This window comes from Homo sapiens, chromosome 15, assembly GCF_000001405.40.
Source record: "Homo sapiens chromosome 15, GRCh38.p14 Primary Assembly".
In the NCBI taxonomy this organism is placed as follows: Eukaryota; Metazoa; Chordata; class Mammalia; order Primates; family Hominidae; genus Homo; species Homo sapiens.
This window is the reverse complement of record NC_000015.10, coordinates 99,653,608-99,674,237: the sequence shown is the minus strand read 5'-3', so window position 1 is coordinate 99,674,237 and position 20,630 is coordinate 99,653,608. Positions and strand designations below refer to the sequence as shown.

Below are 20,630 nucleotides of genomic sequence, written 5' to 3'. Positions count from 1 at the left end.
GAATTATGTTTGAACATGAATATGACTGACATGAGCCTTTTCAATTTCAACTTTATACATTAATATATACTAATGTCTATATTCTATATTTCAAATATTCATAAAGACAAATTTAAGAGGATAAACCTGATAATCAAGTAGTGTTGTCATATTTAGACATTACAAAATATATCACTGTCACCAAGTAAGCATAAATTGGCACTTCAATGTAAACCTTAATAACATTACATTTCTACTGAGAGATCCCAAATATAACGGAAGGAGAAAAGTGTGTACACATATTATTAACTTAATATGTCAAATCTGATAAATCATAAATATTCCCCATTCTGATTTAATTGACTAACTTTCTAAAGGGCAAAACTAAGAAAAAAAAAAAGTAATTATATACATAACAATGCAATTTGAGTTTAATGAAAATGCAAAGAAATCTAATCTAAACAACAAAATTAACTACTAACCAAGCCAGTAATAAAAGTAATAAAGTTTTTGGTATCTTCTTTAAATTGTATAAAGATTAAATTACAAATATTATAAATGCTAACCTTCCCTCCCTCCAAATTATTCCATATCCCCTTTTTTCTATTTTCTATTTTCATCTTGCATTTCCTCCACACACCATTTACAATATGCTTGTTAACCACGATAAATATATGTTGCTCTTTACAATTTAAAGTGGGAGAAAATAAAACAACTTTACTCTGCCCTCATTTTAAAAGACTAACATACAAAAATAAGGTAACACTGCTAATTCAAAGTTGGAAGAATATATTTTATTGTACTTTATTCAATAGTAGTTTATTTCATGTAGAAAAATTATACATCAACAAATATAAAAACAGTGGGTATATGACAATTTTTTTCAAAAGTAAAACACTTTTATTTGTGCGATATCTTTGCAGCTTTAACATTAACTGCAAGGTCAGCAACATCCCTTTATTTGCTACTGTATTGTTTTTAAGAATAATAATGGTATTTGCCCAAAAGTAACTCCTTAAGGCTATTTTTTTGTGAGCTGGCTTCTTATACAGGTTGAGCATCCCTAATCTGAAAATCCAAAATCCAAAACTTTCTGAGCACCAACATGATGCCATAGAGAATTCCAAACCTGACATGTGGAAATGCAGGCATACAATACACAGTTTATTCAGTGTCTCCAAGGGGAAAAGGACCGTTCCAGTCTGCCATCAGCTTCAATATATCTTTTCTGTGCACACCCAGATTCCCTCACACAAGCACATCCACAAAGGGTAATAAAATGGCACGTGTGTAGGCTACACATGCTAACAGCAGGTTCCCAATGATGCTCCACATGGAGCCAAGACCTATGACATGGGTAGCTGAGACAGAGACATCTTTGCTTTCTGATGGTTCCATGTACACAAACCTTGTTTCATGTACAAAATTATGAAAAATATTGTATAAAACTTCCTTCAGTCCATGAGTATGTAAGGTATGTATGAAACATTAATAAATTTAATGTTTAGACTTGGGTCCCATCCCCAAGATACTATACATATGCAAATATTCCAAATTTTGAAAAAAATCCCAAATCTGAAACACTTTCTAGTCCCAAGCATTTCCAATAAGGAATACCCAACCTGTAATACAGGACTACTCTGAAGAAATGATCCATCATGCATACTTTAGGGCACAGTTTTGAAAGAATTAACTCTGATGCTAAAATAAATATCAGCATTGAAACTAATTTGTTCAAGGGCGGCTGACCTACATATACAGAATTAGGAAATCAGATCCAGAATAACTGTTTTAAGTAGCTCTTGCCAATGGAGCTTCCAGTGAGAATTCTTTGAAAAACTATCAAGTCTAGGAGCATGAGCTCAAAGAAAAATACTCTTTCACTATGGTTAGATGAATGAGTATACAGAAACTGTAAAGTCACTATTTGTTTTGCAATCAGTTTAAGAACATTGTTGCCCTAAATTAAAATTAAGCCAAGCTGCTCTTCCTTAGTATCTACAGCATAAGAAAAGAACAAAAGTCTGGTGGTATTGTTGCTAAGTGATTTGGGGACATTTACAAACTGCAAAGCAGTAAGCTTAGCTCTGCTATTATAGCAACTATACAAAATAATTGAAGATAATTTAGGAAAAAAACAAGTTTCGCAACAAACCTAACTACCTTACATTTTGCTTTCTCAAGATCTATTTAAGAACACATATGTTTTTAAGTCATGGGAGTAGAGGGAAAGTTTTATACATACTCTATACTATAAATCATAGAATTTTAGAGCTGGAAGATACCTTAAAAATCATGAGAGCCAACTCACTATAGATGGAGAAAGAATTCAAAATGTTTAGGTGCCCTATCCAAAGGTATTGGGGTAAGAAGTAGCAAAGTCTGGATCGGCATGTTTTCTCTTCACTTCTACATTTAAGATACTGAACATGTATAAGATTTCAGCAATTTTATTTTGAAGTTTTATAAAAAATACTAATAAAATGCATTTCTTCCCTTCTACTTATTGTTGTCATCACCCACTATAAAAATAAGCAACAAGATGTTTGGTCAATCTCTTCATGCACAAGATAAAAGCACAAACCATACTTTAGTACTCACTGCGATTTTATGATTCCGCATCATATTATCAAATTCCTCATTAATTTTTTTATATTTTTCTTCTGTATGTGGAGTTAGCACATATGAAGTATCAGGGTCTGGGCTGTCGCACCCTCTGTGTTCCTTCTTGTTCAGAGCCTAAATAATGAAGTTAACAAAAAGGATCAACAAATAAAAAGTAGAGGTAAAGTAAAAGTACTTACAGGGCCTCGTTTGAAAATAAAATCACTATCTTCATTTAGTTTGCTGAATCTGTCCTCCGAGAGTGGACTGTGCTCAAAGTAATCGTCAGCATCAGGGCTCTCACAACCATTAAGGCCTTTCTTTCTTAAAGTCTGAAATACAATTGGAAAATTCACACACAAATAATGCTAACTTGCCATGAGTTTTTCTGTAAAATTTATTAAGAGAGCACAGACGGAATGAACTGAATTATACAAGAGCCACTGAAACGGTTTCTAAATGATCACAAATGTACTTACTTCTTCAAATAAGATAAACATTAAATATAAGTAAAATTAATTCTCCCATTGTATGTTAAGAGAAAAGGAATATTTGTTTGGATTCTTCCTTTCTAAACTTCTCAAAATACTAAATGACTCACTGCTCTCACAGTTAAAACTCAAATCTGATTAAAGCCTGATCAATTTATATGATATAACCAATGCATGAAAGAACTAAGATAGAAATCTATAAAAATGATGCTTTGAGAAGTTATCGTACCTTTATAAATTGAACATTTCAGCAACTTCACGTATTCTTCCTTTCTGCCTATCGGAGTTTTTATCCTACTCAACAGAAAGAATCAGCACAATATCCCAATAATTTCATTCCTATTATTCACTTTCCTGTATAACTTTGAAATACAACAAACTTGATAATTATTTATGTCTGCAATGACTCCTATGTAGAATGTACAAATTATCAGTGACTTTACATATTTTTAAAATTTGCACTCAAAAGTTATTCAGAGTGTATTTCATGGTTTGATTTAATCCACTGATTTGACTTTCTGGAGAACTGTCTTTTCTTTTTTTTTTTCTTTTTTGAGACGGAGTCTCGTTCTGTCGCCCAGGATGGAGTGCAGTGGCACGATGTTGGCTCACTGCAAGCTCCGCCTCCTGGGTTCATGCCATTCTCCTGCCTCAGCCTCCCGAGTAGCTGGGACTACAAGCGCCCGCCACCACGCCCGGCTAATTTTTTTTGTATTTTTAGTAGAGATGGGGTTTCACCATGTTAGCCAGGATGGTCTGGATCTCCTGACCTCGTGATCCACCCACCTCAGCCTCCCAAAGTGCTGGGATTACAGGCGTGAGCCACTGTGCCCAGCCCTTTCTGGAGAATATTCTTGAGTGCCATTAAAATATCTCCTGGATTATACTGACTTTTTTTTTCTTAGTATAATGCAAAAAACAGTTGGTTTTCTGATTTTTATTTTTAACTTAAATTCATCATGAAATAACTTGTCCAGTACTTAAAAGGATAAATTAAAAACCAAGAGCTTGAAGATATATGGAATATTCCTTTACTTTCAGAATGTCTTATTTCTTTCTTTCTTCTTTTTTAAAAAATCCTAGTGGGTCGTATTTTAAAGTAGAGTTACAGGGTTCAACACTGAAATGGCTGAGACTTCTTGATTTTCTGACCAACTGCAGAGAAGGATTAGGAAGTTAAAATTTCTAAGTAAGCCTAACTAACAGAGCTTAGTTAGGAAACAAAGCTTGATCACTGAACTAGTCCCAGAGAAGTTCATCAATAAACGATTAAATTAGATCTAAAGATATTTTTGATTATTTCATAGCAGATCTTAGTATCCTTTAAAATATGATTAGCAATAATTATGGATGTTTATTTTACTCCTTTTTTCTTGAATGAAGTAGAACATAAGCACAGTACATTAAGATTCAAGAATTTTTTTGATTCTCCAAAGTCAAATTATTTTTAAAATTCACTTTATTCAATGTGATTTTTAAAAATTTTTCATGAAGAATCATAAACAATCATTAGTACAGATACGTTAGCTTATTAAATTACTTGGCATGTGCATATAGCAAACACAACATCTATTTCTCCAACATTTTCTCCATGGCACTAGGCTCTATGAGCCTAAGTAATCACATGGACTTTTATGTGTGCTTGGCCATAAAAGGTCCTGTTGTTGGGAGCACTAAAGGATAAAGGCATTTATCCTCCCCCAACCATGGTAGCAAGTTTACTTGCCAAATCTTTCCAAGTAGCTATGAGGAGTGAAAATGTAGACACTCAGAACACTGGAACACATTGAACTCTTAAAACCTACACAGCACTAGAAACAGAACAAATATAGTAGGTGCCTACACACAGATCTTATCATAAAGTTGTTGACTTATTCTAGTCCTAAATCTCTGATATTTCCCCTCAATTTTCATCTATTTTAAGACTAGTTAATTAGTCTTGCTCTTCTTAGTAAGCTGTAATGCTTATCACTGAAATTTTCACAAATGGCAATCACCAAGTATATATCTCTTTGACCACATTTTAATTGCCAGAGAAAAAAGAAGGCAGCTTTTGTTCAACAATTACATGCAATTTTTATTCTACAAGAGTAGGGTTAACTCTACTTGTATTTATGAGGAAGGAAAGTGCTCTGGTATCTCCAGCTCTGCAAGCCTTCACTTCAGATGGGGTTTCTGTCACCATGAGAGAATTTAAGAGGCTCTATCAGCTTTGTAGATAATAAGCTAATGTACCTCTGTTTGATAGGCAACTTGTGTCTCCTTATCACTAAACCATGAAGAGTTGTTTTGAGGACCCAACTACCATAAAAAGACTTTTTCTGTCTTCACATTACCAAATAGCACAACAGTAGAAGTTTCTCCTGTGCCACTGGTATTATCAAGTGGAATGCCGTAATCTATTAAGAAGGCCAGGCCCAGGTACATACGATCCTGGCCAGCTTCAGTTTTCTCACACACAAGTTAGCCACAATAAAGACACTTGCTCAATGAGGAAAACACAGTGTGAAAGGTCACCACTATGAGAGATCTGCTTATTCCTCATAAAGAAAAAGTAGAAAAATGCATCAAGAGTGCTAGCACTGAGTACTCTCTATAGCTATTACTAGTCATTATAATCCATTCTAAAGTAAATAAAACTTCAAAGATATTTTACTCCTTGTAAATAACGTGATTGAGTTTTTCAATGCCATTCCAACAAACTTAAGGAGAAAACTCAATTGTGCCAAAATAATTTCAAATTTCAATGGTGTGTACCCATTTAAGTTGACTTATCCTAGTTGCTTTTCTTAAAGAAATGTCTTCTACAACATACATTACAGGCTGCTATAAAGATCAATATTAATGAGTAATTATTAATCAATTTAAGCCGATGATACACCCTGTTCTATACATGTTCCAAACTAATTTAAAGGTCCCAATTGGCAATATTACTTAAATAAAATCCTAAAATTAACACACCTATATTTTTCATCAGTACACGTCTATAGAAGACAGTAATTTTATTTTTGGAGGGTCAGTTAAGCACTTGTTAGAAACAATCATTTTTCTATTTATGTCACAACAAAGTTAAATTCCATTATTATTTTAACAGTTTTTTTTTTGACTTGGGCCAATTCAGGTACTTTCTGCACATTGTCATTTATGGTACAAAACGCAGGATTTAAGTAATAAACTTAGCTAATATTTACCTTTCAACGCTAGTTATGTAAGGATACTGAAATATTTTTAAATGAAACCCAAAAAACTAAATATCTCTTAAAACTCTGTATTGTTTAGAGCACATGCCAAGTTATCTGATTCTAGGGGGTTTGTACCTTGGTTTCTGAGCTATTTTCCAACTCTGTAAACAGAAGATAATGTGTAGAAAAGTGAGAGTAATGCAAATAATTTGTGTTTGTAGATGTGCAAACAAATCCCGCCTGGTGGAAGTTCAACTGACTTCCTCTCTCAACTGTGGAAGAGCCAGTTTTTGTATTTATGAAGCAAATTCATTTGGCCTTCTTGGTGGGCTTATACATTTGTCTGATCTTTGAATTTACAAAGGCAACATTTTTTTCAGGCTCCCTCACTAATTAATTACTTAAAATTTTTGACTCATGTTCACTTGATATAATCACCTTTATAAAAAACTATGTTACGGCCGGGCGCGGTGGCTGACGCCTGTAATCCCAGCACTTTGGGAGGCCGAGGCGGGCGGATCACGAGGTCAGGAGATTGAGACCATCCTGCTAACACGGTGAAACCCCGTCTCTACTAAAAATACAAAAACAAAGTTAGCTGGGCGTGGTGGCGGGCACCTGTAGTCCCAGCTACTCGGGAGGCTGAGGCAGGAGAATGGCGTAAACCCGGGAGGCGGAGCTTGCAGTGAGCGAGATCGTGCCACTGCACTCCAGCCTGGGCGACAGAGCAAGACTCTGTCTCAAATAAATAAATAAATAAATAAAAACCAAAAACCAAAAAACAAAACTATTTTACCACTTACGAGTGTGAAACCACCCAACTCACTGATTTCAGATCTAAACTCAGGAAGAGATTCCTAGTAACCCTCGATAGAACTTATTATTGGAGCAAGTATTGGTTTTTAAAAGGAAGAAGTAGTATGCTGTTCTTTAAAATTTTCTAAAAATATTTGATTAATCTGTATTCGTTATAATATCAAGTATCGATGAAATATGACAAGACAGGGCCTGTGGCCTTTCAATACTCATCTTCAAAATCTTCTTGTGGTAATTCATAAATTGTTATTTATATTGCAGCATTAAGAATGTTAACTGTCTAAAACAGCAAATCCCACAACCTTCCTTTCTGTCGGAAGCTATTAAGATCTAAAATGAAATTCAAGCTGGTGGAGGAAGAGAGGAGGGCATACTGCCTAAAAATATTTCTAGGGAAAAGGAATCCCTACATCATATCCACACTATTTCTGTGTTGTAAATGCCCAAATCAAACTTAGAAGGTTTTGCTTTGTTGTCTAGCATTAATTAAACCAGTTTTACCTAAAAGAAGAGGAACTTTAAAAGCCTTCCTTTTTTTTCTTTGCTGATCTTTTTATTATTATTATTATTATTATTATTATTATTATACTTTAAGTTCTGGGATACATGTGCAGAACGTGCAGGTTTGTTACACAGGTATACATGTGCCATGGTGGCTTGCTGCACCTATCAACCCATCATCTACATTACGTACTTCTACCACTATCCCTAGACTAGCCCCCCACTCCCTGACAAGCCCCAGTGTGTGATGTTCCGCTCCGTGTCCATGTGTTGTCATTGTTCAACTCCCACTTATGAGTGAGAACATGCGGTGTTTAGTTTTCTGTTTTTGTGTTAGTTTGCTGAGAATGATGGTTTCCAGTGTCAACCATGTCCTTGCAAAGGACATGAACTCATTCTTTTTTTTATGGCTGCATAGTATTCCATGGTGTATATGTGCCACATTTTCTTTATCCAGTCTATCACTGATGGGCATTTGGGTTGATTCCCAGTCTTTGCTATTGTGAACAGTGCCGCAGTAAACGTATGTGTGCACGTGTCTTTACAGTAGAATGATTTATAATCCTTTGGGTATATATTCAGTAATGGCATTACTGGGTCAAATGGTATTTCTAGTTCTAGATCCTTGAGGAATCACCACACTGTCTTCCACCATGGTTGAACTAATTTACACTCCCACCAGCAGTATAAAAGTGTTCCCATTTCTCCACATCCTCTCTAGCACCTGTTGTTTCCTGACTTTTTAATGATCACCATTCTAACTGGCTTGAGATGGTATCTCATGATGGTTTTGATTTGCATTTCTCTAATGACCAGTGATGATGAGCTTTTTTTCATATGTTTGTTGGCTGCATAAATGTCTTCTTTTGAGCAGTGTCTGTTCATATCCTTCACCCACTTTTTGATGGCTTTTTTTTTTTTTTTTTTTTTTTTGTAAATTTAAGTTCTTTGTAGATTCCGGATATTAACCCTTTGTCAGATGGATAGATCGCAAAAATTTTCTCCCATTCTGTAGGCTGCCTGTTCATTCTGATGATAAAGTTTCTTTTGCTGTGCAGAAGCTCTTTAGTTTAATCAGATCCTATTTATCTATTTTGGCTTTTGTTGCCATTGTTTTTGATGTTTTAGTCATGAAATCTTTGCCCATGCCTATGTCCTGAACGGTACTACTTAGATTTTCTTCTAGAGTTTTTATGGCTTTAGGTCTTACGTTTAAATCTTTAACCCATCTTAATTTTTGTATAAGGTGTAAGGAAGGGATCCAGTTTCAGCTTTCTGCATATGGCTGGCTCGTTTTTCCAACACCATTTATTAAATAGGGAATCCTTTCCCCATTGCTTGTTTTTCTTTCTATCTACTGCTGACCAAACACTCCAGTAGTAGGAAGGCTCTTGAGTTTAAAATTTCCATACCAATTTAAGGAAAAACAATGAAAGCCTGAAACTTAGTGAGTGCCCTGGCTAGAACCTCCATTTAGGTTAGTTACATCCACTTCCGTTTCTTTGATGAGGCTATTTTACAACACTGCAGAGATGGACATTAGTTAACTTATAGAAAACTTGTAGTAGCTGCAAATAATTCTTGTTTCCAGAAATTGTTTCCTGTGGAATACCATTGATTGTCACCCTGTGGATACTGGCCACTTTTGTTTCTATTTATAAATTTACTTCTGCATTCTTTAACTATAAATGTGTTATATTTTTGAGTTCTCCTCTGTTTATGATCTTACTGTTCCCTCATTCATTAATGACTCAAATAAAATCTCTAATATGTTCATTTTATAATTTTATGATAGTAATGTTTATGCCTTCATCCAAATCTAATCTGCAACTTGGAAGATTTATAATCCCAACTGCCTGCTGCACACTTTCATTTGGATATTTTACTAACATTTCTATTTCAACTTAACTGCCATAGAATTCATTATCTTTTATTAAACCGGTCTCTCCTTGGGACTTACCAACCTAGTCGACCTTATTCCCTTTGTTCTCTCTCTACATTCACATGGAATACCAAATTTTATATATTATTTCCATTTCTACTGTCCCCATACTCACTCAAGCCTGCACTATCTTATGTCTAGACTCTTATATCTTTTTTCCACTTTTCTCTCTCTCCATTCTATCTGTTCCATAAATTGTTACCAATTCAGTTCCCCTCAATATCATTTTGAATTTCTCACCTGTTTTAAATCAATTCATTTCTACATGAAGATTATCAGTTGTGCTTGCAAGGAGAGTTATTTTGCAAACCAGCCTTGGTGGCAGAGATGAGAGACCATGGAGCCCTTAATATGAAGTTCCTGGTGTCCGGCCTTCAGGAAGCCAGCTACTCCTGCCTCTTGCCTTTGAGTGCTATCTGTCTGCATTCTTTCAACAAATTCTTTCTTTAGTTGGAGCTACTTTAAATGGGTTTCTATCCCTTATAATCAAAGAAGCATGAGGAAGAAAACTGTTAGTGATCCTTTAGGTAACACATTATTAGTCTCTTTACCCAAGTCACATATTTCTCAAAATAAGTCTGGCTAGTACCTCTACAACATAGAATCCAGAAAGAGTCTCAAACCTAGAAGTGATGATTAATTACTGTTGTTGGTCAAAGATAACTGATTGAAACAATGGTATCTACCCCAACAAAAATCTTTAAAGTCATACGTCCTATCATTCTACTTATAGAGTACTGACAACCTTACCTTTCAAATTCAAGGAAACATTTACAGAATTCTGGGTATATGTTACCACTTGGCTGACCCTGTACATCTGCCTCTCATTTTCTGGTTTATATACTAAACCTCTTGGTGAAACTAGAGATGGAAAGGATTAAGGGAAGAGGTGAAAAAAGAAAGAAAAAAGATACTTGAGAGGACAAAAACAATACTGTATAAACTTTTTTTTAAGTATGTTGAGGTTTTCTTTTACATAATAAACTTACAAAAATTTATTTCAAAATGAATTACTAATTAGGCAGGGCAACTCATTTAAAATGCGTTTCTTTTAGCTTATGCTCTTTCATGTTAAATACTCAGCAAGAAATTCTATATTTAAAATTTTAGCCACATTTTCCATGGAAATGTTATACATATATAAAAAATAGTTAAATATAAAACTTTTATACATAAAATATAAAAAGTTTTATATACATAAAAACTTCCATGGAAAATAAGCTTGTCTAAAATTTTAAATATATATATGTGATTCTATTTGTTTGGAATGGAATTTGACAATTATACAGTTGAGCATATGTTAAAAGTGTTTTCAGTTCTTGGTAGTCAGGAGTTAAAAGTGCAGTCCATTTCCGTATATAATGTGTGCATATATATACGTGCACAAATGCATATTACTATAATCTTTGGCATCTGTTTACAGAGTAAATAAATCAGGATTATCTTTCTAAATATGTTTAATAAATATTTAAAGCATATGGGCTCTTAAATAAGAACTTATAAATATCCCAAGGGACTTGCATTTTCTGGAATCTTGACATATGACACTACATTTTGGATCGAAGAGCCTATACTGCTGGAGTATCTGCTAGAGCCCATGCCTGCACTTTTAACTCCTGCCTACCAAGAACTGAAAAAAAAAATTAACATACGCTCAACTTTATTATTGCCAAATTCCATTCCAAGCTAATAGAATCATAGCACTTACAAGTGAAACTATGGAATTAAAACTACTCAAAAGGTATAAATGCATGGTTTTTAAATGCATGAGGAGTTAACTGATTTAAATCAATTAAATAAACCCACAAAAAATTTGACCACCCACCTTAAATCTCATTGCTATGACACAGCTGAGCAGTACATGCTCCATAAACACCGGCTAAGTAGTCAGTAAATCTAGCATAAGTATAAGCAAGTGCTTGTAAAATAAAGAAATCATGGCTTGGGCCGGGCGCGGTGGCTCATGCCTGTAATCCTAGCACTTTGGGAGGCAGAGACAGGCAGATCACTTTAGGTCAGGAGTTTGAAACCAGCCTGGCCAACATGGTGAAACCCTGTCTCTACTCCAAATACAAAAAAATTAGCTGGGCGTAGTGGCAGACACCTGTAATTCCAGGTACTCAGGAGGATGAGGCAGGAGAATCGCTTTAACCCCAGGAGGTGGAGGTTGCAGTGAGCTGAGATGGTGCCATTGCACTCCAGCCTGGGTGACAGAACAAGACTCTGTCTCAAAAAAAAAAAAAAGAGGAAAAAAGAAATCATGTCTTAAGTTTCAGGAAATTGAAACTAGATTATTGTGATATTTTAAAAATGAGAAAAGTTGTCTTTCCTCATTGTAAATAATTATTTCCAATTTTGAAACATATACTATTCTTTCTAGCTACTCTGACAACACATAAAAACAATTTTTAAAAATTGTGAAATATGTAAGGTATGTACAAGTTTATATAAAATTCAACAAATAATTATAAAGTGAACATCAGTCATTTCAATCAAGTCAAAAAAATAGACCAAGGCCAGAACCCTCCCTATCTCCCTTCATCCCATAACCCTCTCCTCCCACCTTTACAGTTAATACCATCCTAACTCTGTGATGACAATTATCTGGATTTTCTTTATACATTTACCACATATATACATATCCCTAAAAATATAATTTAGCTATGCCTATTTGTGAATGATATGTAAATGGAACCACACACAGTACACTATTCAGCATTAACACTGTTTATGAGATTCCGCCATAGAGTTACACAGAATTATAGCTGGCTCATTTTCACTAAATACTGTATTACATGGCTTGAAAAAAAAGCTTTATCCATTCTACAACAGACAGACATTGGAGTGGCTTCAATCTTTTGAATCTATAAAAATGCTGCTGTGGACATTTCTGTAGATAGTCTACTGCATAATGTGCACACATTTCTCTTGGGTATGTATTCTTAGGAATAGAAGTATTAGTTCATAAAACATGTGGATCTTCAGTTATACTAGATAATGCCAAACTGTCTTTTAAAGTAATTGTATCAATATGCATTCCTACCTGTGGGATTTAATTTGCAATACCAACTACTAATGAAATGAAGCACATTTCATATCTATAGGCCACATGGATGTTCTCTTTTGTGAGGCACCTATTCAAGTACTTTGCTAAGTTTTCTACTGCCTTTTGATAATTGTTTTATAGTAGTTCTTTTAATTATTTATTTTTATAGTAATTATTTTATAAGTAGTCAATGTAAGCCCTTGGCTAATTTTATACATTGTAAAAATATCTTCCCATTATGTAGCATTAAAAAAAAAAAAAAACGCTTATCTTTGGATGCAGAGTTCTTAAACGGAGTCAAATTTATCAGTTTTTTCCTTTCCAGTTATCCATATGATAGTGATTTTTATGCCTTATATAAGAAATCCTTTCCAAAATTATGAAGATATTCTCCTATATTATCCTGCAAATAGCTTTATAATTTTGCCTTTTACATTTAGGTCTATAAGCATCCTGGAGGTAATTTTGTATAAAATCTGAGGTAAGTCCAATTTCATGAGTTTTCTACATGGATACCCAATTGTCCCTATACCACTGCTTAAGGAGTTTGTTCTGCCACTCTATCATATATTAAGTATCTAAATATGCATGGTCCTGTTTCTGAGCTATTATTCCATTGGTACGTTTGGCATTTGGTATTTGTGCCACTGCCACTGTATGTTCATTATTATAGCTTTAAAATTAGTCTCAATATATTGCAGTGCAAACCCTCTCACCTTGTTCTTCTTCAGTGTCTTCTGTTCTATTTTCTCTGTGAACTTTAGAATCAGTTGTTGAAGTTCTTTCAAAAAGTATTTCTTGGGATTCTGATTGATATTTCATCAACTCTACAGAGATTATCTTATGTGGCACAGATATATATAATTTGAGACTTCTGATCTATGAATATGGTATAACTCTACTAGGATACATTCAACTTAGTCATAATATATTATCTCTTCTACATATCACTAGATTTAATCTCTGTATTAGTATAAGTAATGCTAGATGCTTTAATAAATCCATAAATCTCAGTGGCTTAACACAATGAAAGTTTATTTCTTTCTTATTCATACAAAGCCCAAGAAGGATGTTTCTTATTCTCAGTGAGCCCTGTGTGAGATTCAGAGCCCAAAGACATTTACCTTATGGTTCCACATATAGGACCTCAGGGTTCCCATTCTTAGCACATGGGATGCCAAACAGGGAAGAAAGAGTACGAAGATTATGTGGGAAGTATCTTACTGGTCACACCTGGAAGCAGCCTGCATCATTTTCACTCACATCTCCTTGGTCAGAGGTCAGTCACATGGCCACTCCTAACCACAGGGGAGGCTAATACAGAGTCTAGTTTTGTGCCCAAACAGTAGAGAAAATGGGTCATTCTGAAAATAAAAATGTCTCCCAGGCGGAGGTCGGGGTGAGCCAAGATCACGCCATTGCACTCCAGCCTGGGCAACAAGAGCGAAACTCCATCTCAAAAACAAACAAACAAAAAAGTCTCCCATAAGAAAGATGTGAACACGAAGTAGACTAATATTTTGCTGAAGACTTTCACATTTATGTTCAGTGAGACTGGCTTCTGATTATTATCTTTGCAACTCTCCTAGCTGGTTTTGCTATCAAAGTTAGGCTAATTTTAGATAACGAGGAAAGGAAAGCTCTTTGTTTTTACTATTCTTTGGAAGGGTTTGTGAAATACTGGAATTACTTCCTTCTTAAAAATTTGCTAGTATTTTCTTATGCAGCCATCTGGACTTGTAGTTTTGTGGAAAACTTGACAAGATTATTCAATTTTTCTATTTTTTCTTTATTACATTTGTTAAATTATATTTTTCTTGAAATCTGTCCAATGAATCAAAGTTTTGAGGCATAGGATTCTGAGATTATGTATGCTCAAAAAAGTATGTCAAAATTGCCACTGAACGGAAAACTAAATGGTACTGTTGTGATCCTCTAGTTCATCTTCTACCCTTATAGAGGAGAATATTAAAGTTAAAAGAGATCCAGAGATCCAAGTACTCTTCCCTCACCTCACCTCAACACATAGCTGTTAAGTGACAGAACTGGGACTAGAATCTAAGTCTAGTGCTCTTTCCAATATGCTATGCTCATTTCTTAAATGGACTGCATCCATCAGTCAGCAAATCAAAGGGAGAACAGATAAGAGAGCTGTAATCAGGAACAACTTCAACCACTGAGAAGAGAGAATGTTTACTGTGTATGTGGTGGTTGTAGGCACTGTCTTCATATTCCTCTCCAGTTCCTCCATGATCTTATCACCCCTATCTTCCTCAGTGAGAAGTGTGTGGTGTTCAGGCTATGGCTTCTCTAAATTCTAAGATCTTACCCAGTTCCAAGCTACTCCTAGGTTTGATGGTAAAAATCCTAACAAATGGTAGTAAGATTCCCTACCTGCCCCACCCCCCAATCCCAACAGTTTTGAGGCCCTTGTCTCCCAGGAGCTGGATATTGAGCAGCCAGGTAGTCTCAGCTTGTCACCAGAAAGAATGTAACTCTGTTCTAGATCTCCACACGTAAATGAATACTAAGATAGAGCTGATTCTCAGTGCACCACAGACAAGAAAGTCTATCTTCAAAAGTCCTGGAGCTTGGTTCTTCACTATCCCTTTTTGTTTACTGAATAAATACCTTAATTTGCCTTTTTTCTTTCATTCAACAAAATTTATCGAAAGCACCCTACTAGATGCTGATATTTACTGATAAATTAGACATAGATCATCGTCCACATGAAGACTGTAGAGATCATCTGGTCATTCGATGAAGACTGCTTACCATGGCAGCCTGACTTGGTCTTGGCCCTTTCTTCCAAAGCAGTAGATGGTTTGATTGTAACACTGATATACAGGTGTTATGCTTTCCCTGTCGAAATTTTCTCTGGGTATAGAACTCTAGGTTGCATTCTACTCCCTTCCTAAACAGCACACTTAGGATATCATTTCATTGACTCCAGATTTCATTTGTTATTTGGAAATAGCACTCTTTTGAGGATAGTTTCTTTACGTCTTTCTTGTCTTTGTTTTCTGCACAGTTTCACTATGTCTATATAGAGTTTTTGTTTGTTTTTTTTTTTACACATTTACTCTGCATGGGATTTGAATTTCTTAAATCTAAGGATGGTGGGCTTTCATCAATCCTAGAAAATTGTGTCATTATCTCATCAAATATTGCCTCTACCCGATTCTCTGTTTCCGTCTTCTACAATGCCAATTAAGCATAAGCTAGAACTTCTAAACATGATCCTCCTTTTCTTTAAACCTTTCTTGATATTTTCTGCCTTTTAATATTTGCATTGAATTCTAGATAATTTCTTCTATCTTTGGTTCACAAATTCTCTCTGCGGTTATGGAAAATCTACTTCCACCATGTTTACTGCATTAATTAGTTTTGGTCATCGTATTTTTTCACATCTTGAAGTATTTCATTCAACTCTGCTATGTCAATTCCTATATAACTTCCTGTTTCCTACTGATATTTTCAAGCTTATTTCTTAAAACATAGAAAGTGAAACTGTTCTATAATCTACATATAATAACAATGTCATCTGAAATATATAAGAGCTATTTTCTGCTGTATCCTGCTGTGTTTTCCTCACTGTGCCTTGTTTTCTTGTATGCTTGGTCATCTTTGTATGATGCTCTATAGTTCTGAAAGGTTATTTGAAAGAGATTTCTGATACACAGAATAAGGTGACTTTCTTCAAAAAGGATATAAATTTGCTTCCCCCAGTTAACAGGGCACTAGTTTTCTTGAATGTCTGGTATTATATGACTTGGAACTACGATTCCACACAATGCTGGTAACTTGGTTTACAATCTGTCAGATATGTTCTATTTTTCTTTTCGTGTTCTCTTCTTTCCCCTATCTGCTCAGTACTAAATAACTCTCCTTGGAATCCTTTGGGAGCAGGAGAAGGCAGTGGATTTTCCTCTTTTCTTAAGGCCCCAGTTTAAAGGGTTTTGGGGGTATCTATTAGGCTCATAAACCTAGAAGTGATCATTTTCCCCTTGATTCTGAATCTATCAGAACCCAAATCTATCAGAACCCAAATCTCAGTTTTACAAACTGCTTTATCCAGATGGGCAAATGATTCAGGGTGGTTAGAACTTTAAATACTTTTTTACCTTTATGTTCTTACCTTCTCTTAAATTTTGGCCTGGCATATTCCTTGAGCTCTTTGATAACGTAAAAAAGTTTTTTTGTTCTGTTTTTACAGTTTATCTAGTTTTTAGATGTCTTCAACAGAAGAGTTGATCCAGATAACCTAGCCCAACAATATCAAAATTTTAAAAAAAATCAACCATTTTCTAATAATATCCATAAAGTTATTGGTTTTAGTTGATGTTTTTGCTATTTTTTTTTTTAAGTTAGATGTAGGACAGGGTTTGGCAGTTCCTCAAAAAGTTAAACACAGAACTTACCACACAATCCAGGAAATTCTACTACTAACTAGATACCCAAGAGAAGTGAAAACTTATACCCATACCAAAACTTGTATACAAACTTCACAGTAGCAAATGGAATACTATTTGGTCACAGAATGAAGGACTGATACAGCTACCATACGGATGGACCTTGAAAACATTATGCTAAGTGAAAAAGCTGGACAAAAGAACATATTGCATGACTCCATCTATATCAAATTCCCAGAACAGGTAAATCCATAGACACAGAAAGTACATTAGTGGTTGCCAGGATGTAGGGGAAGGAGGAGTTGGTAAGTGATTGCTAATGGGTACTGGGTTTCTTTTCGGATTGATGAAAATGTTCTAGAATTAGATAGCGTTCATGGTTGTACCAACTTGTGAATGGACTAAGAACCACTGAACTGCATAATCTACACTGGTGAATTTTATGGTATACGAATTATATCTCATTTAAAAGAAGAGCAAAAAAGTTAATCTCAGGTATGCCTACCACATTTCAATAAGCAATTAAAATATGCATTCAATTTCACATGATAGTTAAGGATGTCTGGAGCAATTATTTATAAAGATACAAGGTAATGTGACAGTACTACTACAGTATTAACCTGATTAATTAGGTTACTGAAAGCTCTGGGAATGTATACTCCAATCATGAAGTTATCACACTGGAAATCATATCATATTGTCCTAAGATGCACTAGCCCATCCTAATTCAAGTGCTGCCAGCATTTCTATTCAAGTAATTTTGTGTATTTACAGGACCCACCATAGTGGCCACTAGCTACTAAGATGCCTCATTGAGCATTTCAAGCTATCCCTCCAATTATCATTTATGTTCATGTGCAGAATACAAAGCTGCATAGGTTTTGCGGTTTATGAGATTATTCAAGAATGCATACACTGCAATACAGCAGAGGCCTCTATACTTATCTTTTTAAGTACATTTACTTCTCTAAAGGCTGGAAGTAATATATGTTAGTAGATGTGGAGGATGGGGAGATAAGGAAATAAAGTTATCATTTCCAGTGTTAACAGAGTAAAAAGAATCACCTCCTACACACTGAGTGTTCCTTCAACTTAAACATATTTTATATTTTTGTCCCTACTAGATTTTGTAATATTTGATGAAGTTTTAACTGAGTATCATAAATACTCTTAATTTATGATTAAGTGAATGCGGAAGTACACAACACTACCTTTAGTTCCATTTTATAGGTCATTATTAAGCTGTGTGCTGAATCTTTACTGAGCACTGTGAAAAATACTAATGTTCCTTAGCGAAGTCTTTGCCTCAAAGGATCTACAGTCTTTCTTGCTCAATTTGGACGCGGCTTCCTCATCAGTTAAATGAAAGAGAGAGCCAGATCAGAGTTTCCTAACTGTTTTATAACACACAAACCACTTTTCACAGCATTATTAGGTCAATTCTCTCTCTCTATAATAATATATATGTTTTACAATTATGCAAATTTTCTATAAATCAATTTTTAAACAGCATGATGTGTCAATATATTCTATTCCTTAGAACATGGCCTAACCCCCCACTTTAATCTCCCCTCTCCATTCAAACCAAATGGAATTGCATTCCTCTTTCTATAATTCTCAACATTACTAAAGCCTATCATGAGTAATAAGTGAGATAATTTAGTTTAGTTTTAAAAGCTACACACTTCTTTTAAAATACTGCTAATCTGCTGCCAGATTAATTCCTGTAACAATGACTTGACTACTTAAAACTTTTAAACACCCCTCTAAAGGCTGCCCAATGCCTATAGGACAAATATTAAATACCACAGCTGGGTATTCAAGACCATCTATCAACTATATTCAATTTGTCTCTTCCTTACCTTTGATTACTCCCCTATGCAAAGCCGCTATTCCATAAACATTTTGTATATGATGTAAGGTAAATACTGAGGCTTATTTTTTTTCTATATGGATATCCAGGTTTTCCAGCACCATTTATTGAAAAGACTGTCCTTTTCTCATTGATTTACCTTGGCTCTTTTGTCAAAAATCAATTAACCATGTATATGTGGGTACATTTCTGAGCTCTCTATTCTGTTCTATTGAACTACATGCCTATCCCTATGCAAATACCACACTGAATTACTTTAGTTTTGTAGTAAATCCCAGGGGTGTAACATCTAGCTACAATAAGCCAATCAGGATATTCTATCCTTTCTCTACCACTGTGTTTAGTGTTTTCAGAGTGGGAGATGGAGAGGCAAGCGATTTAAACAGTACAATTAGAATTAATTTTAGAACATCTGCTGTGGATTCTGGGACACAACTGATCTCTGATACTTTAGATAGATGCTCAACAATATAGTAACCAATCGCCACATGTGGTTAAATTAAAATTTAAAAAGATTAAAAACTCAGGTTTTTCAGTTGCACTACACACTCAATAACTACACATAGTTAATGGCTACTATATTGGACAGCACAAATATGGAACAAATTCTATTAGATAGTGCTGCTTTATATGATGCTGTGTTCACATATAAGGCCTAGAGCTACCACTGCCATTTTATCGACATGAAAAAGCCAGTGTGAAGACAATGATGCATGGGCAAAGGCAGAGACCTGGAGCCCGCTTGAACACAGCCAAATCTCTACCATGCTGCTGGAATTTTTCTTACATGAAATAACCAATACCCCCCCCTTTTTTTTTAATTTATTTTTATTTATTTATTTATTTATTTTTTGAGATGGAGCCTCGCTCTGTCCCCCAATACCCCTATTTTTAAGACCAATTTCAGTGAGGTCTTCTGTTGCCTGCATCCAGAAGCAACCTATAGTTCTCAAAATGCTTTCACATACATTATTTTAACTGATCATCAAAACTTAATAAGATTTAAAATTTTAATACTGTTCTCTCTGCCCTATTAAACATTGAGCTTAGTAACCCAGTACACTAACCATTCAATAAATAAATGGATAATATAGCAAATATATGCTAGTTAGAATATTAAATACAGATATCTACTTTACTAATAAGTGACATATTAAGTAGGATTTGAGAGTCTAATATCAAATAACTTTCACAAAATATCTAAAACATTATTTTATACTGTCCTACAGCACAAAACTGATAGGTTTATAAGAGACCAAAGTAACGAAACCATTTTTAAAAACTTAATTCAACTACATAAATGTGGAAAACCACAATAAAAATATTTTAATTATATAATATTATGGGATAATCCTATATGAACGTGGGTGGCGCAAAAAAAGCAAGCTAATGTCTTGAATTCCTCTACAAATACTAGTTGCTACTTCTACGTTCTTTTTTCAGAGCATAAACATTTTTAAAGTTTTCGAGATACATTCTGGAAATAACACTTAAGCCCAGAAATTACCACAAAATAAACCAGATATTTGAAAAGAAAATTTATATAAAAACAAAGCATGACAGAAAAATATTCTCCACTGAGTTACAGGAGATAAAGTCCAACGTGCATAATAAAGCTTTGGGTTATTCTAGAAGGCTTAAGCATGTAGTGCCTATTTACCAAGTCTTAAAAATCACTAACATTTTAAAAACAATATGGAAGGTTTACCTTCTCATGTTTTACTGCTAATGAATTAAAATGAGAACTACAAGAAACATTATTTGAGGAAAAAACCATAATCCCA

General features: G+C 34.6%; 1 protein-coding gene across 82 annotated transcripts in view; it reads right to left on the bottom strand.

Moving 5' to 3' along the window:
• MEF2A (myocyte enhancer factor 2A) overlaps window positions 1-20,630 on the bottom strand; it is a 151,072-nt gene that overhangs the window by 42,251 nt on the left and 88,191 nt on the right. For 39 of the 82 annotated variants that reach the window (NM_001400057.1, NM_001400064.1, NM_001400061.1 and 36 more), the window contains one exon: window positions 2,784-2,915. The exons of 2 other annotated variants lie outside the window; for them this stretch is intronic. In NM_001400057.1, coding sequence (NP_001386986.1) covers window positions 2,784-2,915 — 132 coding nt within the window. Of the gene's footprint in view, window positions 1-2,568; window positions 2,719-2,783; window positions 2,916-20,630 lie in introns of all 82 variants that reach the window. 41 more of the 82 variants (NM_001400049.1, NM_001352617.4, NM_001400039.1 and 38 more) reach the window with 3 other exon arrangements.